The sequence below is a fragment of the Homo sapiens genome, chromosome 11 (assembly GCF_000001405.40).
Source record: "Homo sapiens chromosome 11, GRCh38.p14 Primary Assembly".
In the NCBI taxonomy this organism is placed as follows: Eukaryota; Metazoa; Chordata; class Mammalia; order Primates; family Hominidae; genus Homo; species Homo sapiens.
This window is the reverse complement of record NC_000011.10, coordinates 90,054,807-90,080,011: the sequence shown is the minus strand read 5'-3', so window position 1 is coordinate 90,080,011 and position 25,205 is coordinate 90,054,807. Positions and strand designations below refer to the sequence as shown.

Here is a 25,205-nt window from a genome sequence, read left to right as displayed (position 1 = left end):
CTGTGGATAATTCTGACACATGCTAGAGTTTGAGGATATAAGCTCAAACTGTCACCCATGTCGTGACTTTAAACTCGTCTTCTACTCTACACCACAACACACACATATATGTGCACAAGCAAATATATGCAAATAAAACATTGTGGTGAAATAAAATACCTTTTTGTTTGTTTGTTTTGAGAAAAGCTCTAGTTCTGTTGCCCAGAATGGGATGCAGTGGAACAGTCATGGCTCACTGCAGCTTCAAACTCCAAGGTTCAAGTGATCATCCCACCTCAGCCTCCCAAGTAGCTGCAACCATAGACGTGTGCCATGATGCTGCTAATTTTTTGAAAAATTAGTTTTATAGAAATAGAGTATCTGGGGCCAGACCCAGTGGCTCATGCCTGTAATCCCAGCACTTTGGGAGGCTGAGGCAGGCGGATCACTTGAGGCCTGGAGTTTGAGACCAACCTGGGCAACATGGTGAAACACCATCTCTACTAAAAATATGGAAAAAAAAAAAAAGTAGCTGGGCATCTTAGCACGTGCCTTTAATTCCAGCTGCTCAAAAGGCTGAGGCATGAGAATTGCTTGAACCCTGGAGGCAGAGGTTGAAGTGAGCCCAGATCTTGCCACTGCACTCCAGCCTGTGCGACAGAGCAAGACTCCGTCTCAAAAAAAAAAAAAAGAAAAAGAAAAAGAAAAGAAAAGAAATAGCTTATCTCAATGTTGTCCAGGCTCATCTTGAACTCCTGGATTCAAGCATTCCTCCCGCCCAGCCTCCCAAAGTGCTGAGATTAAAGGCATAAGGCTCTATGCCTGGCCTTGAAAGGAATTTTTATTCAATCTCATCCAGATGTTTTTGCTTTATTCTGGCGCTAGTCCTAAGAAAATTAAGAAGTCCTAAGAAAACTCTTCCCAACAGGTAAAAGATGCATTAGTTAGTTATTATGGCAATATACCCTGCATGAGTAATTTTGGTGATAAGCTTCTGTCTCATCATTTCTAGAAAAATATTTTATTTCTGTCATAACTTCTAATGCTTAGTAAAAAGGCTCTTTCTTTGTGTGTTGATCTTCTTCTTGCAAATTAGGCACTCAGTATTAGCTAGTATTTCATTGTTGAGTACCAGCCCTGTGCCCTGTATACATGAGAATTTTGTTTTCAGGTCTGCTACTTATCATGGTAGCTGATGGCTGTGGTCTTTCTCTGTTCCTTGCTTCACTTCACTCCACAGTATCTCACACAGGACAAAAAGCAGAACAGATATCTTCAGATCCTCTGATGTTAATTAAGGCAACTCTGCTTGTCAAGAAATACAAAATGTGGTTCAAAAGCATCCATCCAGATTGTATACAGAGTCTAGGGACCTCTCCAATATGACCTCATGCTTTAACAGAATCAGTTCAGCTTCTGGATATTTTTACAAACTCAAGTTAGCTGCAACTGCTCCAGTTCTCATAAATTCACATACAAAATCATTCACTTTCTTTGATTTCAACAATAAGAATCACAAAACAATATCTTGCATACAAGTACACCTCACTGAATTGGGTGGGGTTGGTAAATAAATTAAATTAAATGTGATTATTATCTATTGCTATTCATATCTTTCCCCCTAACCATTTCCAATCTTGGTGCCCATCTCTCATCAGATGGTGCTTGGCCCTTCTCTGTGCAAATGCCTCTTCTATTTCCACAAAGGCAAAATGCTGCTTCCTGTATGTAGGAATACTATCAACTTGTTGTTACTGTTGTCATTACTTCATAGTCACCTACTCAAATGTACAGCTTCAAAACTAAATATGCCAAGGAATTTTACTCAATGAAGACAATTCCATGTGGAATTTTAGTCATGTTTCTTTTTCCACACCTCAGAAAACTGTGGCTTAGAGAAAATGGGAACACATTAGACACATTAGATATTTTTTTTTTTTTTTGAGGTGGAGTCTCACTCTGTTGCCAGGCTGGGGTGCACTGGCTCAACCTCAGCTCACTGCAACCTCTGCCTCCCGGATTCAAGTGATTCTCCTGCCTCAGCCTCCCGAGTAGCTGGGATTACAGGCTAACGTTTGTGTTTTTAGTAGAGATGGGGTTTCGCTATGTTGGCCAGGCTGGTCTTACTGCTGACCTCAGGTGATCCACTGCTCTCAACCTCTCAAAGTGCTGGGATTACAGGCGTGAGCTGCCACGCCCGGCCTAGATAAGTATTTTTGAGGGATTAGATGGTAATACCTGAAATATTTGGCTAGAGATGTTCTTTATACTGTTTTTACTTCTATCTCTCTGTTACTTGTATCCTATACTGACAGTCAAGGCTCCTTTTGATGGAAATTATTTTAATCTCTTAGCTGTTGCCTCTTTCTGCCTATAGAACATCTTGCACACCACTACCTGACCAGTTTTTATAACTCAGCATTCGAGTGAAGCTCCTATCATAGTCTAAACTCTTCCTTATGGTATCCTTGCTTTTCAATACTAATCTGAGATACTCCTGCTGCTTTTCTTTAGAACAAATAACTCTTACTAGCTTTATTTTGCCACACACAATTTTTTTCTTTTCTTTCTTTCTTTTTCTTTTCTTTTTTTTTTTTTGAGACATACTCTTGCTCTGTCACCCAGGCTGGAGTGCAGTGGCGCGATCTCAGCTCACTGCAACCTCTGCCTCCCGGGTTCAAGCAATTCTCCTGCCTCAGCCTCCCGAGTGGCTGGGATTACAGGCATGCACCATGCCCAGCTAATTTTTGTATTTTTAGTAGAGACGGGCTTTCATCATCTTGGTCAGGCTGGTCTCAAACTCCTGACCTCATGAATCGCCCACCTCGGCCTCCCAAAGTGCTGGGATTACAGGCATAATTGACCATGTCTGGCACTCTCTTTTTTTTTTTTTTTTTTTTTGAGATGGAGTCTCACTCTGTCACCCAGGGTGAAGTGCAGTAGCACAATCTCAGCTCACTGCAGCCTGCACCTTCTGGGTTCAAGCAAGTCTCCTGCCTCAGTGTCTCAACTAGCTGGGATTACAGATGCCCATCACCATGTCTGGATAATTTTTGTAATTTTGGTAGAGACAGGCTTTCACCAACCATGTTGGCCAGGCTTGTCTTAAACTCCTGACCTCAAGTTATCTGCCCGCCTCAGCCTCCCAACATGTAATTTTCTTTTTTTAACTACATGAGTAAACACATCTTAGTTTCTTCCTGGTCTCAAGTTCCTCAGTGATACCTTTATGCTATTGCTTTCCCACAATTTCATCACAGACCATGATCTCTTCTCATTTTGTATACTCTTCCTTTTACAATTTCATCTCATCTCTCTGGTTTGAACTACACACATACTATGTCTCCACATCAGTTTTTAACTTTGAATTTTATTTCTGTGAAGAATTTAACTTGTGTCCCCCAAAATGCGACAAGGCAAATGGATCAATAACCTCTTCAGGAGGTGAGGAGTCCTAGATTTCTGATATAAGTGGCAAGGTTCCCAGTAGTTGCACCTTAATTTTATTTCTCAATTTTAGGAATGTCCCAGATGATAATAATTCTAATAGAAGTTATCAAAACAGAGGAATGTAACAAGTTTTTGGTTTAATGGCTAAGAAAATTTACCAAACTAATACGCACTTTCCCCTCTTCCAAAATTAAAGTAATATCTTAAATGTCTACAGTAGCTAATACCAACTGTATGTACAAGTAAATCTAAGCTAAATATGATTAGCTATAAAATTTTCTTTGAATAAGTGACAAACAAAATTGGTAACAAGGTAATATTGAGAGTGTAATAGCTGTTGCTTATGGAAATTTTTAGTGTCAGTAGAGAAAGCTCAGAAACTTTAGGTGGAAATAAAAAGGAGAATTGGGTTGAAAGCCCAGAAGGCAAAATTCTATAATCTGAGATCAGTTGGAGAGACACAAATCATCAGAAGGTGATAGACTTTTCCTGTTACCTAGGAAAGTGCTGCAAATAAGTGTGTGGGAGGAGAAGAGAGAAAGTTAACTAAGGAGTGTAGGTAGTACAGACAGAAAGAATAAGGAAGCATTGCTAATAAGCATTTTCATAATTTGTATAATCACCTTGAGTTAGTGATCAGTTTAAGAGATTAAAAGACACATAAGATCCTTCTTGCCATATGACCCTTAATTAGCCAGTTGCTGAATGGGGAAACACTGGACACTTCGACAGTGGTGAAAAGCAGAGTTTACTTATTCCTGAATACCCATTCCCAGTTCTAACTAAAAGCAACTCTTCAGTAAAGGATCACCTGATTTTCATTGAACACAAGCTCTTGGGCATTTCTTCTGCTGTGCTGTCATTTAATTTTCTTTCTCTTCTAAATCAAAGAAAAAAAGAAAAAGAAAGAAAAGGCCAGACACCGGTGGCACATGCCTCTAATCCCAGTGCTTTGGGCAGTTGAGGAGGGTGGGTTGCTTGAGGTCAGGAGTTTGAGACCAAAAAAAGAAAAGACCAGACACCGTGGCACATGCCTCTAATCCTAGTGCTTTGGGCAGTTCAGGCGGGAGAGTTGCTTGAGGTCAGGAGTTCGAGACCACCATGGGCAATATAGCGAGACCTTGTCTCTAGCAAAAGAAATAAAAATAAAATAAAATAAAGGAAATAAAAATAAACATTTTAGTGTGTATTCAGCATTTCCGGATACATCTTGCAGTTCAGTGTGCTGTATACCTAAGCTTGAAGCAATAGGATGGGAACAGAAGTACTGAGGAAAACACCAGGTCATTTCCTTACATTCAGGTCCTCTTGCTCAGGATGTTTTTTCAGCTTTCTCACTGAACAGGAGATGGCAACAGATTGCACTTTCTTGCACGTACAGAGGAAATCCAGTTGATGAAAGTGTCAATCTTCGTTTTGATTACCTCCTCAATTTGGATAAGTAGGTGAGAAAAACATAGCCTCCTATTTATTTAAAATTGGAATCTTGCTGCTCAACGTTACCAGAGCCTGCAATCTGTGGGATCAGTCGAATATGGGTATTCAGCATGATGTGTTGGAAGAAAATTGCTTCTCGCAAGATTGAATGCCTAAGGAGTAACTTTATATATATATCTCATATTTGAGCAAAGAAGAAATTGCTTTCTCAGATCCCACTCCTGATGGAAAACTGTTTGCAACAGAGTACTGTGGTACTGGTCAGTTTCTGGTGTATAATTTTATAAACTGACAGAATAGCATGTAAAACAAATTCTTGCCTACACAACTAGAAGACATCTATTGAAGAAAATAGATTGGTTGCTGACTTTAACCAGGAACTAGGGCCATTTTTATTGCAATGAACTCAAGACTAGCAACAACCATATATTTGTTCCATTTTCATAAAATTGGAAATAATGCAGTAATAGCTTATTGTTTTGTTTTTTAAAGAAGATATTTTATTATCTTTTACAGAAATTTATGATTGATGTATTTTATCTATAGTTATTTAGACATGTTTACATGCAGCAGATAATTGTTCATAGCATACTGAAAACTAATGCAAGGACTATGCTCTCAGCAATGAGGATATTGTGGAGTTCTTAAAATGGAAATATACCAGTGTAGCTTGGTACTGTATTTTTTATATTGATCTGCTGATACCAGTTATAAGCTCAAAGATTGTATTTTCACAGAGTGGAAATGAGTTTTTTTAGTTATTGTTCAAGGAGGGTGCAACATTAAGTGTTTTGGAATTTGAAGCTAATTTTTTTTTTTTTTTTTTTTTTTGAGATGGAGTCTCATCGTGTCACCAGACTGGAGTGCAGTGGCACGATCTCAGCTCACTGCAGCCTCTGCCTCCCAGGTTCACACTTTTCTCCTGCCTCAGCCTCCTGACTAGCTGGGACTCTAGGTTAACAGTGAGAATTCACAATCCGTGTGAATGGGAAGCATAAACACATTTTAAAGTAGACAGTCTGCTCATCTGTTTATTTTTCCCTGGATGATGCTGTTTGCTTTATTAAACAGCTACAGAATTCAATGTGGGTTAAACCCTTTTGGTTCCCGCTGAGACATTGCTAGCAACTTCTCAGAGAAGCAATAGGCTGTACCATTTAGCTTATATCTGTAGATGGATATTCTATCTAGGTTTTTATGTGTGTTCTAATGTTCACACAATGATAAAATCGCCTAGTAATGCATTTCTCAGAATGTGTTTTTGTTGCCATAGGATGCACGACTGTTAAATTCCTATTCTGGCCCAAAGATTCAGTGAAAACTTCTGTGTAAAATAAATTTTTCCACCTAAAGCAATGAGGTGTAGAATTTACCGTATTAATAGGAGAGAGCACTCACACTTACAAGTGCATTGTACAAAATCCTGTCTGTCCATGATGTGCAAATTTTGTTCCTGCATGGGATAATTAAGTGGGAATCACACACCCACATATTTCCAGAATTCCATCCAATAAATTCACAAACACTTGAAAATCACAATACATATTTTAGGTAATGGGCCATAAGAGATTATTTTAATTGTAAGAAAATGTACAAAAATGTTTTGCATTTTACATATCTTCTACTTAATAGCAATAAAATGAAGTGACACTAAAGTAGAAAAAAGCCTGAAAAGTATGATTTCTTTGTATCAACAGTGAAGGGCTGGCTCCCCTGTATATGGAGTTCCCGAACAGTCAGGTTTCTTAATCCTTGTCATCTGTGGCCAGTGTAAAAGAAAGACCTGACAGGAAAATTTAAGGAGCCAGCTGGGTAATTCCATATGAGGGAATTCTTGGTGACATTCAAAAAACTCACACTTCCACTTTCAAAATTAAGAAACACACCAACTCGGACCAGAGGTTTCTCTACATAGTGAGGAAACATTGGGGAGGTGGTCAAGAGACTGAAATGATTATCCACCTTCACACATAAAAGAAGAAATATGTCCTTAGAGTTAAACATTGTGCTATTCTTCCTTATCCAGGAGTCCTTACAGACTCCCAGAGCCCAGTCCCAAGAGTTGTCCACATCCAGCTCCCAGTAGTGTTTGCCAGAGGAGAAGACCCAGGCTCCCCATGCAGCAAAATAGTCAGATCTGTCAGAATTCAAAGATCCACGTCTAAACATCAAACTTCTCACATCCTCAAACAGCCCGATATTGTAATTGGTTCCTTCCCAAGTGAAGGAAATTTCCACTGTAGAAAAAAGAGAACGTTCCAGTGAAAAGCAGTTTATAAATTCTTATGTTCAGATAAGAAAGAGATTCTCACTAGAAAACACAGGTCAAGATTACAAAGTAACTTCTGCCTGGAAAAATGTTGGAATCAAAGGGTGTTAGGATATCTGCACAAGTAAATGGCTCAACTTCAATGATCGCAATTTCTATAAACTCAAAAAGTATAAAGGGGAGGAAGGTCATGTCTATGTCTAGTTAGCGACCTTTCATAACAACTGAAAAACTGGAACCTCTTGCACTGCAGCCAAGTCCATAGCAATAAAATTAACCTCCATTGCCTCTTCTCTGTCAGGGCAGAGCAGGAGGCTGGGGACAGGAGATGAGGTGGGGAGCCATTCTTAGACCCAAATAAAAAAGTTATCGCTTTCCAGAAATATTATAATCTGCCACTTAAACTAGAAAATTCATACTTAAAGAGAAAATCTGAATCTGCCTTCTGAAAAGTGCAGATTCCTTGCCAGAATTATCTGACTTTCATGCCAGATTCAGGCACAGACATCTTTTATCTGCTGGATTTATCATGATCTATCCTGGAGTTCTATCTAAGGCCTCATCAACCACCAAATCACGTTCTTATTGTTCACAGATTCTCAGTGTTTGCATTGTTATATAAGTTACTCGTGTATGCTTTAGTTGATTAAAATGCACGTGATTAAAATTATAAATGCTATGAAACTTCACCTGAAATGTATTTAAAAAAACACTGTCACTCAAATCAGTCATTAACTGCACTGAATTTGAAATTGAAATGTCCTGAATTAATTCAGTTCTGTATACTTCATGTAATAATTGTATACATGAAATTGTATCACGGTTGAAGCATACATGAATGGTTCTACGTCCTAAAAAGCCCTTCTGCGTGTTTTACTTTTCCAAGAAATTTGTTATATGGCTGATTCCACCATCTTTTATTTAGTTTTGTCTGTTTGATGATAGTGAAACTATAAATGTAAATACCTATTCACAGACTATTCTCTTCTTCTAGATGAAAAATCGTTACACTGGGAAGGCTGCCCATAGAAAACCATAACTGAAGGCATTGCATGTTGATCCCACCAAGAGGGCCACACTCACCTCGGAAGTGGTTGAGCCTGTCCACCGGTCCTGTGATGGGCCCTGTAGGGAGCTCTGGATTCACAGGCTGGAGCATGTGCAGCAGCACGGACTCACTCCTGCAAGGAAGTAGGTTGAGTTGGTTAAGTTTCTGATGTCTGTGTTTAAGAAATAGATTCCAACAGAAAATGCTTCATTCAAACCACTTCTGATATTGTAATGTACCTCCACAATCCTAGGATGGGTTTGTGGCCCTTAGGGAATCTTTCTAACTCTTCACTCCGTTTCTAACCTACTGCCACTGAAAGATAAATGCCTCTCTCCCTATCTGCCACCAAATAGTTGATCTCTAATTATGATTCTGAATCCTAAAAAGAGGCAATTGTATTCTAGCAACTCCTGCATTGAACTCTTCAAAACAGAAACCCCTGAGTCACTTGGAAAAGTAAGAAAAGTTTAATGTCTGATAAGAGGCATAGGTAACATTCAACATACCACACAAACACATAAGTACACACACTTACACACACAATCACATTGACACATTATGGTGTTAGTAAATTATGTTTTCCCTTTGTTGGAAACAACTTGATGTTTTTCACAGCACGCCTTGTGCTCCAGCTTGCACTGATGGCCATTAACATACCTTGCCACCATGTCTCCCAAATCCTGTAGAGAGAGAGAGAGAGAAAACGACTCCTTTAGAAAGTTGTTATTCTTGTTGGGTGAGGTGGCTCACACCTGTAATCCCACCACTTTGGGAGGCCAAGGTGGGTGGATCACCTGAGGTCAGGATTTCCAGACTAGCCTGGACAACATGGCAAATCCCCATCCCTACTAAAAATACAAAAAAATTAGCCAGGTGTGGTGGTGCATGCTTTTAGTCCCAGCTACTAGGGAGGATGAGGCAGGAGAATAGCTTGAACTAAGGAGGCAGAAGTTGCAGTGAGCTGAGATTGGGCCACTGGACTTCAGCCTGGTTGACAGAAGACTCTGTCTCAAAACAAACAAACAAAGAATCAAAGAAACAAACAAGTTGTTATTCTGCCCATCTGCTCTTTAGGTTTTGAAAACTTTAGAATTACCACATACTATCACTGCAACACTTTTAAAATGTATTCTCATCTCTTACACTTATACCAGTAAGACCTATTGACAGAATCTATTTCTGACAAAGTAATGATGGCAGGGCTTCATCTGAATGCATTTATTCTACCGCTCATGGAGAGGAGTGTCATGCCATGTTAGACACATGAGAACATTCTCTGCCTAGTTACCAGTAGCTCTAGATCTTCCTGTAGTTATGGAAACCCATGCTACAGATTCTGGAGAAGCAACTCAGACCTCGTGCAGACAAGAGTTCTTCGAGAACCACCTTGGCTATGCAAAGACTCTCAGGCCCAGCAACAGTCTGAGCTGGATGAGAGATAGAGCAAAGGTCCCAGGAGCAGCAGAAGCTGTAAGGGAGGGAAAAGGGAAGGAAGAAACCCTAGATTTCAGGATATCCCCTTTACATCTGTGAGAATATCAGCACGCACAAGGCCACCATTCCTTTGTCTGACTCCTCTTGGATCCAGGAGTTTTCCTGGGTTAAGCCATCCAGGGACAGGACACGAGATGCCATTTGGCTCTAGGAGCACAGGAGAGAAACTCAGCAGGAAGAGTGTCTCTATGGGAGGAAAATTCAGTTGAGCACGTTTGTAGGGTCACAGGGCTGGATATGGGTAGAGTCCAGTGTACATGTTTAGAAGCCACAGTTCCCCCAGATCTTCTGATTCTAACAAGTACACAGAGCCAATCAAATGAAGGAGGGGGTGGGTCAAGGGAGTTCAGGGACAAGGAGAATGAGGGATGATTAGTTGCAGGAGGATGCCGTCGAGGTCAATAGGCAGACATTCTCCCCTCCTCTGATACTGAGAAACAAGTAATGAAGCTTAAAAGTGTTGCTTGTGCTCTGTGCCAAAGGCAGCAGAGCACTTGTCTCTGGTCTCCATATACACTTGACATATTTACCTTCAGTATTCTGAGTAAGATTTTGATTCATTTCACACGGAATAACACTCACCTACCATGCTTAAATTACCGTACATATTGTGAGACTTTATTGATCATAAATAAGTTACTCTCAACCTTGAGATCTGGCTTCAATTTTCTGTATTCTCATTCTTTCTCCTTTATATCAGAAGCTTCATAATAGACAATGGGGGCAAATATGGTGTGGAGAAATAATCAGTTTATATTTAGATATTTTTAATGTAGTTATCGCTTCCTAAAAAGCTAGGAAAAAGCTGAAATACATGAAATAGCCACGCACCTTCGTTTCTAGCCTCCTTTAGGTATCTGCCCAAATATATTCTATACTATGTCTTTTCTGACCATAGTATTAAAAATTCAATTTTGGGCCAGGCACGGTGGCTCACGCCTGTAATCCCAGCACTTTTTTGGGAGGTCGAGGTGGGCGGATCACGACGTCAGGAGATTGAGACCATCCTGGCTAACACGGTGAAACCCTGTCTCTACTAATAATACAAAAAAAAAAAAAATTAGCTGGGCGTGGTGGCGAGCGCCTGTAGTCCCAGCTACTTGGGAGGCTGAGGCAGGAGAATGGCGTGAACCCGGGAGGCGGAGCTTGCAGTGAGCCAAGATTGTGCCACTGCACTCCAGCCTGGGTGACAGAGCGAGACTCTGTCTCAAAAACAAAAACAAAAACAAAAACAAAACAAAACAAAAATCAATTTTTGTCTATGATTCTTTATTTTCCTTTCCTGCTGTATTTTTCTCTAAAGCACTTATCACAATGCGTCACTCTATCAATTTTTTTTTTCTTTTCGAAACAGGGTCTTGTTCTGTCATCCAGGCTTAAGCGTGGTGCAATACCAGCTCAATGCAACCTTGACTTCCCAGGTTCAAGCAATCCTCTCACCTAAGCCAGTGTCTGAGAATACAGGGACATGCCACAACCCAAGCTAATTTTGTTTCTTTTCTTAGAGAAAAGAGCTCTCACTTTGTTGGTGAGGCTGGTCTTGAACTGCTAAGCACAAGTGATCCTCCTACTTCAGAATCCTGAAGTGCTGGTATTACAGGCCACAGCCACTGTGCCAGCTTCACTTTTTCAATGTTGTATTTTGACTTGTTGTCTTGTGTTTCTCACCCTGCAACCTCATTAGCTCTTTAGGTGCAAGAAAATCCGTCTCATTTGTTCATTTCTGCATTGGCTTAGAATGTTTATTAAGACACAGTAGGCACTTGATATTTTGAAGAAAAAAGTATTGTAAGTACTATCCTTAAGGATATCACCTTTAAAGAATCAGAATGACTTATCAATAATTAAGCTCATGATATCTCTTTCTTTCACACAGAGCCAATTTCTTTCTTAGTGCTTAGGAGTGTCTTTAATATTATTTGTTTTACTTTTCCATCAGGAAATCTTTACTTCTTTCAGAATGTATATGTAATTTCATTTCATCTCTTCTCTTCATAGTATTCATTTTATGTTTGAATCAGTAAATGATCCATACAGATTCTTCAGCCATGCATGTAGGTCCCATCTTGAACTACCCTATGCTACCTTTTCTGCTACATCTCTAAGCACTGCCTCTCTCATTATGGAAGTGTTAATCACATATGTGAATTATGTGGAAATCCAATAGTACAATGGTTTATCTAGTATATAGTTTCCAGCACCCCCGCCCCAATTTACCTGCCTGAAATTCCAAGAAATTTCCTATTAAATTTTTTTATGTAATGTAGTTTAATTTTATTTAGAAAATCGGAGAATATAGTTTTAAAGCTTTTGACCTATATTTACTGTTGACCCTTGAATAACACTGGTTGGAACTCTGTGAGTCACTTATAATTGGAGTTTCTTCTGCTTCTGACACCCCTGGGACAGCAAGACCAACCCCTCCTCTTTCTCCTCCTTCTCTGATTACTCAACATGAAAATGATGAGGCTGAAAACCCTTATAATGATCCACTTCCACTAATTATATTTAGTTTTCCATTAATGAATATTAAATATATTTTCTTTTTATTTTCTTAATATCTTCTTTCCTTTAGCTAACTTTATTGTAAAAATACAGTATACACATAACATATAAAATATGCGTTAATCAACTGTGAATATTATCATTAAGGCTTCTAGTCAACAGTAGGCTATTGATAGCTAAGTTTTGAGGAAGACAAACATTATATGCTGATTTCTGACTACATGGGATCTTGACACCCCAACCACCATGGTGTTCAAGGGTCAACTCTAGGTTTATTAAATATTATTCAAATAATCTGAGAATCTCTTTGTGAACATTCAAAGACTTTATCTTTCTGTGAAACCCTGTGTTTATCTCATGCACTAATTATGGCATTCCATAGTGATAGTGTATTTTACCATGCTTATTGATATTTTATATCATTTCCCAGGAAATAAAATTTTTTTAGCTGAATATTTTGATATTAGCAAGAAATCCTAATAAGAAGTTTGCTTCCATGTTGAAATGATTAGATGGAACCCTTTTGCTATTGTTCTGCTGCTCACAGTAGCATAACAATTGACACCTTGGTTGTGCCCATTGCTCTATCTGGTACACTGAAGCATACGCTCTCCATGGATTTCTGATAATATTGTGAATTCTATTAATCTTTTTGAAAGTAATAGCTATATATTGCTAAAGTGTCCAAGAACTGTCACAAAGTTCTATATTTTGTCATAGTATTTTCATTTCTTGAATTATTTCTTAAGAAAAAGTCTCCAATTTGGAACAGAAAAACTGGTTTGAAAAAGACTTGAAGTCTAAAATGATAATAGCAGATCACCTGAGGTCAGGAGTTCGAGTCCAGCCTGGCCAACTCAGTGAAACCTTACCTCTACTAAAAATACCAAAATTAGCCAGTCACGGTGACAGACACCTGTAATCCCAGCTACTCGGGAGGCTGAGGCAGGAGAATCACTTGAACCTCGGAGGCAGAGGTTGCAGTGAGCTGAGATCATGCCATTGCACTCCAGCCTGGGTGACAGAGGGAGACTGCGTCTCGAAAAAAAAGTAATAATAATTATTATTATTGTGTAAATAATTATTATATAATTTTTAAAATATGAATACATAACATTGTTATAGTTATGTACATATATATGTAAAGTATCACTTTTAAAATTATTCAAAAAGGTGGATGAATAAAAAATAGATTTTAGTTTCATACAAAACAATCATTAGGAAATAGTCATAAAATAGACTATAAGACATAAAATAGCCATAAAATAGACTATAAGAAAATCAGGCTGATACAACTAATTCTATCAACCATTATATATACAATTATGTGAAACACAATTGAGTTCCTTGCTATACTTTTTTAAACAACAGAGTTACACAGCACGGATGTGTTGGTAATCCCAGTTAATGTTTTATCTTTGAACATATTCAGACAAATAACGGCTAGGCACATAAGCAACTATAATTTTAAAACAGAGTGAGAAACAAAATTTTAAAGTTAGCATGTGGCCCGGTGCAGTGGCTCACGCTTGTAATCCCAGCACTTTGGGAGGCCGAGGTGGGCAGATCACCTGAAGTGAGGAGTTCGAGACCAGCTTAAGCAACATGGTGAAACCCTGTCTCTAGTAAAAATACAAACTTAGCTGGGCTTAGTGGCAGGTGCCTGTAATCCCAGCTACTTGGGAGGCTGGGGCAGGAGAATCACTTGAACTGGAGATGCAGAGGTTGCAGTGAGCTAAGACCAAGCCCTGGCACTCCAGCCTGGGCGACAGAGCAAGATACCGTCTCAAAAGAAAAAAAAGAGTTAGCAAGTGATAATATTTAATGAAATAATTGTTGTATTTAAAATATTTCTTTTTTTTTTTTCTTTTGAGACAGAGTCTCGCTCTGTCACCCAGGCTGGAGTGCAGTGGTGCTATCTCGGCTCAGTGTAACCTCTGCCTCCCAGGTTCAAGTGATTCTCATGCCTCAGCCTCCCAAGTAGCTAGGATTACAAGTGCCTGCCGCCGAACTCGGTTAATTTTTTGTATTTTTAGTACAGATGGAGTTTCACTGTCTTGGCCAGGCTGGTCTTGAACTCCTGACCTCGTGATCCACCCTCGTGGGCCTCCCACAGTGCTGGGATTACAGGCATGAGCCACCTTGCCCAGCTACTTAAAATATTGCTTTGAATAAACTGTGTTAAGTCAACTTTCTTGCGTCTCATTCCAAACTTGTCTGTTGAGCTTTGAGCCCTCAAGTCTGGTTTTCAATACCTTATAAACCTAATCAGCCAATTTATCCCTTTCTATGCAATCCAATCCATCTCAGGAAGTGGGTGTGGTCTTCCGTGGGCCCATACACTTTAAAAGGATGCTTGTCCAGAGATTTCTCCCTCCTTCAGTGAGGACCCACTGGATTTGTGACTGCTGGGCTTTGAAGAGCCAGGAGTGACTTCTAATCTGGATATCTACAGAGCTTCTAGACTGAGACCATTCATAGTAGCCTTGTGAGTATAAAATTTGCAGTAAACCCATCATGCTCACTTTTTCTCTTCAAAATACTTTAAATTTACCTGGCAGCATGCTTGGGTCTTTTCTAAGCAAACAAGTAACTGTCTTAGTGATTTTACAGAAAATCAATATAAAGTATCTTCAATTTGTAAGGTATGGTTTGTGTTCCCTTGCTATTTGATTCCTTTGATGTGACTGTTTTCTGTATTGTTAGATTTTTCTTAAGTGTGAAAAGATATATTTCCATAGTTTCATGCAATGATAGAACCCATAAAATACCTAAAATGTTCACCAGAATGTGGGCATGTAGTAATGGTTGTAACGTACGCCAAAGGAAATGTTAAAAATGTTGAATTACTTTGAAAATTCTTGTTGCAAAGGTCTTATTTGCTGTCTCTTCAAAATTTGCAGTTTGCAGACTAGATGTGAAAGCTGTTGAAAATAGATTTAATCGGCTGGGCATGATGGCTCATGTTTGCAGCCTAGCACTTTGAGAGGCCAAGGCAGGCAGATCGCTTGAGGTCTAGAGTTAGACACCAGCCTGGCCAACATGGTGAAACCCGGTCTCTACTAAAAATACAAAAAAATCATCCTGGCGTGGTGGTGGGTGCCTGTAATACCAGCTACTTGGGAGGCCTCGGCAGGAGAGTTGCTCGAACCTGGGAGGCTGAGGTTGCAGTAAGCTGAAATCGTGCCACTGCACTCCAGCCTGAAGTCAGAGCAAGACTGCATCTCAACAACAACAACAACCAAAAAAAAAAAAAAGATAGAAAGAAAGAAAATAGATCAATAGACCTAACCAACTGGCAAGGGCTTCCCAGAGGCTACAACTTCCAAGTCACTAAGGGGAAAGGTGAATTGGTGGCCATGCTTCCATTAACTGTATTTCTGGATTTTCTAGTGTAGAGTGGAAAACCTAATACATATCTTCACTTTTTTTGTTGTTATTTTAGAAGATAATTAACGGTTGATTAATTCTTGTTAATTATTATAGTTGAAATATTGGCTATTTCAGAATGTGAAAGTGTTCTCTCTAATCATCTGAATTGACAATGGGAAAAAACTTTCCTAAATTAAAAATAATAGATATTAATTACATTTAATGTATTGAAAGGAAGAGTTTTGATATTAAAGTTAAAAGGACAAATTTAATGGTTGATAATTTTAGGAGTTGACGGTCCACTCTGATTACTCAATCTTAGATAAAAGCTACTTTATTTATAATTGTCTGAGCAAACTTCATAGGTGAGTTTGGAGGCAGGGAGTATAGAATAATACCATAGATACTAAGTGTCTTTCATATATTATCATCATGGAATTATTGAGAGAGATAGAATGACAGAGACAGGATGACATTCAGAATGTGCTTCTTCATCAATTAGCTTATATAAGTGACTCAGAAATCATCCCAGCTTTTACCCTCCGCCCAGGCTTTAAGCTTGTCTAGGTAACTGGGAATGACTGAGAGCACGGCTTGTTTAACAAAAATGCCATGAGGACTCTCGTCTCATTTTATCATTTGAATCATGGTTGTTCATATCCATGTTTCATACCCGTGGATTCAACTAATCTCAGATAAAAAAATATTTACAGGAAGAAAAAAGCAGGTATACTGAACATGTACTTTTTTTTGAGACAGAGTCTCACTCTATTACCCATGCTGGAGTGCAGTGGCACGATCTCAGCTCAGTGCAACCTCCACCTCCTGGGCTCAAGTGATTATCCTGCCTCAGCCTCCCAAATAGCTGGGACTACAGGCACGTGCCACCACGCCCTGCTGATTTTTTGTATTTTTAGTAGAAACGAGATTTCACCGTATTAGCCAGGATGATCTTGATCTCCTGACCTCATGATCCGCCTGCCTCGGCCTCCCGAAGTGCTGGAATTACAGGCATGAGTGAACGCACTCTGCCAAACTTGTACATATTTTTAATCTTCTTGCTGTTCCTAAACAGTGTGGCATTACAAGTATTTATACAACATTTACATTGTATTAGGCATTCAAAGTAATCTAGAGATAAAGTATTCAGGAGGATAGGTTTACGTTACATGCAAATCCCACACCGCTTACTAATAAGAGACTTGAACATCTTAGGATCTTGGTATGTCAGGGAGTCCTGAACCAAATCTTCAATGGCTATTGAGCGAAAACTTTATAAATCCAGCATGTTTGCATTTACTATGTCTCAGTTTGTACTGGAGCTAACTTATTCGACATGTTGGACAGAGCTCAAGTAGACAAAGAAAATTGTCCACCGGCCTTTTTTTCCTTTTCATCGGGGTAAATAAAAATAAGAGAAAGAAATTCTCACTTTTTTTTTTTTAATTTTCAGAAACATGGATTCTGATGCCCTGCGAGTCTTCCAGAATGAGCTCATTTGCTGCATTTGCGTGAACTACTTCATAGACCGGTCACCATTGACTGTGGGCACAGCTTTTGCAGGCCCTGCCTCTGCCTCTGCTCAGAAGAAGGCAGAGCACCAATGCGCTGCCCTTCATGCAGAAAAATCTCAGAGAAGCCCAACTTCAACACCAATGTGGTACTCAAAAAGCTGTCTTCCCTAGCCAGACAGACCAGACCTCAGAACATCAACAGCTCAGACAATATCTGTGTGCTCCATGCGGAGACTAAGGAGCTCTTCTGTGAGGCTGACAAGAGATTGCTCTGTGGGCCCTGCTCTGAGTCACCAGAGCACATGGCTCACAGCCACAGCCCAATAGGATGGGCTGCTGAGGAATGCAGGGTACGTGATGCCTCTAAGGCAGTTTGAATTATACAGAATCCCAAATAAGAATGATGAGGGCCTGTGACAATGATGGTGATGAGAATGCAGATGATGGAGGTGGTGATTATTCCATGTCAATCATAACACATGAATGTGTCCTTTCAATGTTGCTGGCTAATTTGGCACTCTAATCACAGCTGTGTTGAGACTTCGCTAAAGGAGGTTTCCTTAAAAACATTGTTCAAACATATAGAATGGAGCTGTGGAGCTGGTGGCCAGCACCAAGAACACTTTTCAAAGTCAGGTTATATAAAAGCCAGTTTCTCAGAAAATTGATGATATTATCTGAAGGGTCCCTTAAAACTCTCTATTATGTTTCTATCATTTTTCACATCCAAATTATTAGAATCATATTCGTTTAACTTGGAAAAATCTGACCGCTTCACTCTAACTTAATTTATGTTTCTTTCAATTACAGCCTTTTTTTTTATTGATAAGGGGATGAAATCTACTGTCTTCATCATTGCTAAGCTTCTTGCTTCTTTTGCAGGAGAAACTTATAAAGGAAATGGACTATTTATGGAAAATCAATCAAGAGACACGAAACAATCTAAATCAGGAAACTAGCAAATTTTGTTCATTAGTGGTAAGAATGAAAATGTTTCCTTTGTTTTTACGCAAATAAACACAAAGTTGGCTTATACTTTTTAGCTAAATTCAAACTACCAGTTAAAAGATAGTGATTTCATCCCAAGAAAATGTAGTGATTTCAATTGATATAACAGGAATTGCAAACAGAGAAGCCCACACAAGCTAGCCAAATTAATTCTAGTGTATTGGATAAACGGCATGATGTGTATTCTAGTTCAAATTTGAAGGTTGGCATAAACCTTTTCAGACACTGCAGATGAGACAACATTTCACTAAGTTTGGGTGTGAGGAAGATGAAAGAAATAGAATAGTATATAGAGTAAAAATATAGTAAAAGTAAAAAAAAACTGCATAATATGGTGTATGGCTAAATGTTTTTTAACATGTAGGCGAAGCAGACATGGAAAAATCCTAAAAGAGAGATTAATAGAGGAAACAATTGACCCAGTAAGAACTGTGAAGAAGCGTCACAGTGACGGAAACCAGGAGTCTTTATATAGGTTTGATTTAAAAAGGGAGAGAGAATAGGAACATTGAAAAAGATGGACAGAAAAAGATAGCAAATATTCAAGACTCTTTGCAAGAGTGAGGCAGAAAGTTTATAAATTGCTTAATTACACGCTGCATATAATTATTTGAAGTTTTCTATTGAGAGTGAGAATATGTAATCCTTTTAACCAAACATCTCTGCAGGACTATGTGTCATTAAGGAAGAGGATAATCACTATTCAGTATCAAAAGATGCATCTATTTCTCAATGAGGAGGAGCAACTGCATCTGCAGGCACTGGAAAGAGAAGCAAAAGAGCTTTTCCAACAACTACAAGACAGTCAAGTGAGAATGACCCAACATTTAGAAAGGATGAAAGACATGTACAGAGAGCTGTGGGAGACATGCCACATGCCTGACGTGGAGCTGCTCCAGGTGAGGAGGGAGGGTCCATCCTCAGAGACAGGAAGCCTTTGCTGAACAACGCTGCCAGGACATGCAAATATCACCTGCGTATGTCACTGCTCTAAGCTAAGTGACACATGCTGTCTGACTTCCACCATTACATTTTTCCAGTCATTTATTACTGCATACTTTAGTAATCTTTGGGAAATTTTTGCCAATTTAGTAGATAACATATAACACAGTTCTCTTCAATATAATTTGGAGTACTATCCACAAGAGAGATCATCTAAGATCATTAGAACTCTAGGCCAGGGGAAGGTTAGTAATATCCATGTATATGCCCTAGTTCCTCCTCACTCTCTAATGTCCCACACAGCAGTGATTTGCTGAAGACATTGAGGGGTTTCCCCTTGCCTGGGCAAGGTTTGTCAAAGCTGCTCATCAATGTCCATGTACTCTGTTTCTCATATGGTTCTCTGTTTTAATAGTTGTCATGTGTGGTCAGAGCTTTCCTTGGAAATAAGGTTAGGAAATTAATGACACTGGAAACCTAGATATCTTTGCTTTACTCCATCTTCTCTTGCTGAGCTCCTTTCTTCTTAATGCCCACTGATGAAGCTTTTCATTGTTTAGTTGAGGTTCTGTTATTAACATAGCCTTGAATGATTCCTTAGAGGGAAATAAAAAGATATACATTATTAAAACACTAAAACAGAAAGAAACAAGAGTATGAGAAAAGATGCAGAAGGAAAAATCTCTCATAATTAACATTATATATATATTTTTTTGCAGCATGTGGGAAATGTATCGGCAAGGTGAGTTTACACTAAAAAAAAATGTTATTTCTGAAAAATTTGTTCTCTTGTGAATGAAGGGGATGTATACATTTTGAGGTACTGACATCATTCTCAGTGCCTATTTCCGATTTTGTTTCAAAAGAGGGCCTGAGGTCTTCTTCTCTTTGGTCTGGAAAGTTTCCATCTTACAATTTGTATGAATTAAAATATACATAGAAACAATTTGCCATTCGGAAGTTTGGTTTCCCAATCCATCCATCCTGACCAACCATACCCCACAGATCTTAATACAAAATTACTCTGAGGAATCATAGAGGTGTCTTCTACTCTAGAGGGGTGGGAGGTTAAAAAAAAAAAAAGACAGAGGGAGGAGAGAGATTCCCTAAGGAAGGGCTGAGGAGGGATGTTTTGCTCCTAAAAGCATCAATGACCCGGGCCTCCTCCATCACCATACACCCAGTTCTAGGAAAGACCTCAGGAAAATGGTTACCTCGGGCCCCTCAGCAGCAAGGTTCTCAGGCTGGAATTAGACTCCTTTGTTTTGCACAAAAGATTAAAGACTTTTGCCTCAGTGAACATTCTCTGTTAGACACTGACTAGCATTAGTGACAACTGCAGGCTGAGGTCCCAAAGGTTTTTGTCTGAGTTTTCTGCTCTCTGAAATATTTCCAGGATTTCTGCATACCCTCAAGGGGTGTGATGGGCAGAGGGAGGCAATGACTTTTAATGACTTTAGAAGTTGTATAATGTCTGAGAATAACATATCTGGGGAAACTGGGTTTTTATGCAAGTAAAATTTAGAAAAAGTAACATCCTTATTGCCCCTAGAGTGTGGAATAAAGTGTATACCCAGTTAACCAAAACTGGCAGAATTCTGAGGAAACATCTTATATGAAAATGTGATATCTTTGTATGACTGTGTGATTAGCTCTGGGCCTGGAAATATAACTGAGGCCATTTTTTTTGCAGGACTGATTTGGCACAGATGCAAAAGCCCCAGCCAGTGAACCCAGAGCTCACTTCATGGTGCATAACTGGAGTCCTAGACATGCTCAACAACTTCAGAGGTAAGAGCCAGCTGCTTGGCATTCCAGCCTCAAATTATTTCCTTATTGGTTCCCTTGGTTGAGGCTTTTCCCATTTAAGTTTTGTTAGTTTTGACATGTAGGTAATACATAGTTTTCCGAAACATGTGCATCTTCCCTACCTGCATAGTAATATTACAATGATCAAAACTCAATTTCCTGACTTACAGTTTGACGAAAATGTAAAGCAAGATACATACTTTATCTGCAGAATAAGAGGACAAAGAATATTCAGGTCATGTAGTTATGAAGACACTAGTTCTCATGGCGGCATCGGTATTTCGTGTTTATTCAATTTAATTCAATTTTGAAGGCTTAGATTTGGCATAATGGTTTTTAATTATTTCTATTCTATGTGCATTTACATGCATTCTATAAGTAATTTTTATTATTTACAAAATCAGAACATTTTGATCAACAAAGAAAATGACTAAAATATCCATAATCCAGACAATTCTAATGCCATCAGAAACATCTCGTAACAAGCAGAAGGTGAGGGATCTGTGAACATGACCTAACCATGCTAGGCCCATTCTAGAGAGCAGATCTAGGTAGCAGAGAGCAGGAACCCAGAGTAGATTGAATCAGGGGCTAAACAGATAATGTAAAGCCAGAATATTCTTTTCAGAAACTTATAAACTTTACATGTGTTAATTTCTACCAAATTTTTGATGTTTGAGACTATAGCAGGCATAACTTACATTCCAATAAATACTCACATCACAGCAAATTGATGTCTACCTGTTGATGATCTTAAAGACAAATAATACAAGAAGATTTTTCTATTGAAGAAAAAAATACATTTTAGATATGTTCTGAAACAAACTGTGCAGAGATAGACATTAAATCATTACTTTGCCCAGTGATATGGTCACATTTTTTCTCTATTATTAAAAGAATAATACATAATTGTATATGCTGTAGAGGTGTAATAACATTTCATCTTCATGGATGCATGGGGCTGAACTCTCTTGGCTTCCTTTTTTCTGTATTTTCTTGGAAGAAGAGCAAATGAAGTGAATAATTGGGCCACAGAGCCTCTGTCCCTCATAACACTCACTAATATAATATTTTTTTCCTTGTCAGTGGATAATGCTCTGAGTACGGAAATGACTCCTTGCTATATAAGCCTTTCTGAGGATGTGAGATATGTGATATTTGGAGATGACCATCTCAGTGCTCCCACGGATCCCCAGGGAGTGGACAGCTTTGCTGTGTGGGGAGCACAAGCATTCACCTCTGGCAAGCATTACTGGGAGGTGGATGTGACCCTCTCCTCCAACTGGATTCTGGGAGTCTGTCGAGATTCCAGAACAGCAGATACCAATATCATTATTGATTCTGATGAAAGATTTTTTTTAATTTCCTCAAAGAGGAGCAATCACTATAGTCTCTCCACCAACTCTCCACCTTTAATTCAGTATGTGCAAAGGCCTCTGGGTCGGGTTGGGGTGTTTCTGGATTATGATAATGGATCTGTGAGTTTTTTTGATGTTTCTAAAGGTTCTCTTATCTATGGTTTTCCTCCTTCCTCCTTCTCGTCCCCTCTGAGGCCTTTCTTTTGCTTTGGTTGTACATGAAAAGTTGGTTTCATGATGATTTATTGTGACCTCCCATATATAAGGCAAATACTGTCCTAAGACACTATGTGTGAGAGCCTGTGAGCGCACTGTAACTTCATGGAATGTGATTACTTTATGGTTATAAATGGGATAACCACCTTGAATGTATACATTCATTAATTAAGTTATTTTAATTAATAAATTATTGTGGAATCTTTACTAGAACATCAATAATGGCTTTTTTTGTACAAGTTTTTTGAGATTCATTCACTTACTGTGAAAGTCATGTTCTAATGTATTTAATTCAGAGATTGTTAGTATATCACACTTGAGCAGCCATCAGAGCTCTCTTCTGCCTGGGCACTTTTATCACTTCCAGAAGAATCCCAATACCCCTTAACATTTATTCTGCATTCACCCTCCCCCATTCCTTCAGAACACTTAATCTACTTTTTATGTTTTTGCATTCGGGTAAATAAAATCATACAACATAAGTTCTTTTTTTAATCTGATTTATTTTTCAGAGAGTATGTTTTCAGTTTGTGCACACTGTAAACCATTTGTCTTACTTGTATATTTGAACCAGGCTGGGGTAGAAAAATGAACTGGTGGATATCTCATCTTACAAAGAATAAAGAAGTGTGCTTATTTTCTTTCTAAGTCTGACCAAGTTAAGTTGACCTCACAGACTTTATTATTTCTCAACATCCTAGTTATTAATCTCATTTCAGCTCATACAAAAGTTTTTCAGTGCTGGGTTGCTCTGCTATTACATCTTCTCAAGTATATTATATCAGATTATAACATTCAGAAAACTCTTATACTTATTACTACCAGATTGAAAAGTCCAAGGGGGCAATGGCAGTATTTGTCTTCTTTGCTAATATATTACCATTATCGAATGCGATTTTTAGAATAGATTATACAATAAATAAGATGAATAAATGGATTAAGTAGAGGAGTTAGTATGTATAAATATTATTCTAACATTGAGAAACTTTTCCAAAATGTACGTAACAAAATAGGATAGAACATACTAATGAATATCTATCAAAAGATAAGACATAAATTGATTTTCAGATTGATATCAAAGATAATACTATTATGTTAGGGTTTAAAATAATTGTAGCATAATTTTTATAGGGTTGATTTCAATTGTCTTAGGTTTTTTAATATAAACCTTTGAAAGATGAAGGTTCCTATATAAGATGATGGGGTAGAGGAGCAGGACTTAGAATAGTGGAGACTGGCCTTAAACTGACATATAAATTTAATTACTTGCTAAGCATAAAGTGGTATAAACCTTCCTATGCAGTAGAAAGAACAAAATTAGTTTACACTTTAAATAAGAATCCAGATGGGCTGGGCGCGGTGGCTCACGCCTGTAATCCCAGCACTTTGGGAGGCCGAGGCGGGCGGATCACAAGGTCAGGAGATCGAGACCATCTTGGCTAACACGGTGAAACCCCGTCTCTACTAAAAATACAAAAAAAATTAGCCGGGCGCGGTGGCGGGCGCCTGTAGTCCCAGCTACTCGGGAGGCTGAGGCAGGAGAATGGCGTGAACCTGGGAGGCGGAGCTTGCAGTGAGCCAAGATTGTGCCACTGCAATCCGGCCTGGGCTAAAGAGCGGGACTCCGTCTCAAAAAAAAAAAAAAAAAAAAGAATCCAGATGACAGAGAATGGAAAATTCTATAATAGAATGTAATAGCTACATCTCCTAGGGCACCGGCTTACCTGCTCTAACAAAGACCACAAATTTGAAATGATTCAGAAGATGCATTTCTCTCACATGTTTGTACCAATATAGGAGTTGGTCAAGAAGAAAACTGACATCTTCAACCAGTGAATTTTACCTCTGTGTGCAGGAAACTCCCATTTATTGCCATGTCCCATGCAGCAGGAAAGCCGGAAGAAAAGTAGGAGGGACAAGAGTATTTGGCTTTAAGGAAATCACCTGGTGTTTTTCACAATGCATTTATTCCCATCCTATAGGTTCAAAATTAGGCAGATGGCACACCAAGTTGTAAGATATATCTGGGAATGCTGTTTACACTCAAAACCATATTTATTCTTATCATTTGATTCAGAAAACAAATTAAATGACTGGCACAACTGAAAATAACCCAAGAGATTTGTTCAATGAAACAAAGCTGAACCTCAACCAAATAGATAAGCTGCTGCCTAAGGTTAGCACCATTTCTTAGTATTCAAGAGTGAGTAAACCCTGCTTTTTACCACTGTCGAGGTGTCCAGTGTTGTCCTTTTTAGAGCCTGGCTAGCTGAGGGTTAGATGGCAAGAAACATCATACTTGTATTTTAGTCCCTTAAATGAATGATTTAGATAGGAATGATTCTCCAAATTTTGAAAACACTTATCAGAAATGTTCTCTTATTCCTTCACTCTATACCATGTAGACTATAATAAACTGTCTCTCTTCTGCCTTCACACATTTCATGCAGAACATTAGGGGTTAGCAGAGAGAAAGCTTATCACCAGCTTCTTTTGGACTTGCTGCTTTTTTCCAAGCGATCTGAGATGATAAAATTATTCACCTTAGGGCTCCAACCCAGCACTCCTTTTTTTGATTTTCTCCTATGGTTTGTGAGCTTTTCTGTTGATGCTAGAACTCTATGCAGCAGTCAATGCCTCATAATTTAATTACATTATTTGTTCCTAGTTTTCAAGGAAAAATTTATTCCTGACATTCTTTTAATTTAGCTCAGATTCACTTTGCAGAAAGACAGTATTAGCTACTTTATGATCATTTAGTATTTGACTCTGATTTTGGAAGATGAAAAAGTTTTTGTGTC

General features: G+C 38.7%; 1 protein-coding gene and 1 pseudogene across 1 annotated transcript in view; one reads left to right on the top strand and one right to left on the bottom strand.

Annotated features, from left to right (window-relative positions):
* Window positions 1–6,480: 6,480 nt before the first annotated feature.
* The window catches only part of TRIM49C (tripartite motif containing 49C), a 42,426-nt gene continuing 23,701 nt past the window's right edge, over window positions 6,481–25,205 (bottom strand). Inside the window, exons 4-6 of the mRNA XM_024448656.2 lie at window positions 8,844–8,866; window positions 8,219–8,316; window positions 6,481–7,103 (exon numbers count right to left, since the gene is read on the bottom strand). Coding sequence (XP_024304424.1) covers window positions 6,622–7,103; window positions 8,219–8,316; window positions 8,844–8,866 — 603 coding nt within the window. The 3' untranslated portion in view covers window positions 6,481–6,621. The remainder of the gene's footprint in view (window positions 7,104–8,218; window positions 8,317–8,843; window positions 8,867–25,205) is intronic.
* TRIM64EP (tripartite motif containing 64E, pseudogene) lies at window positions 17,015–22,444 on the top strand (annotated as a pseudogene).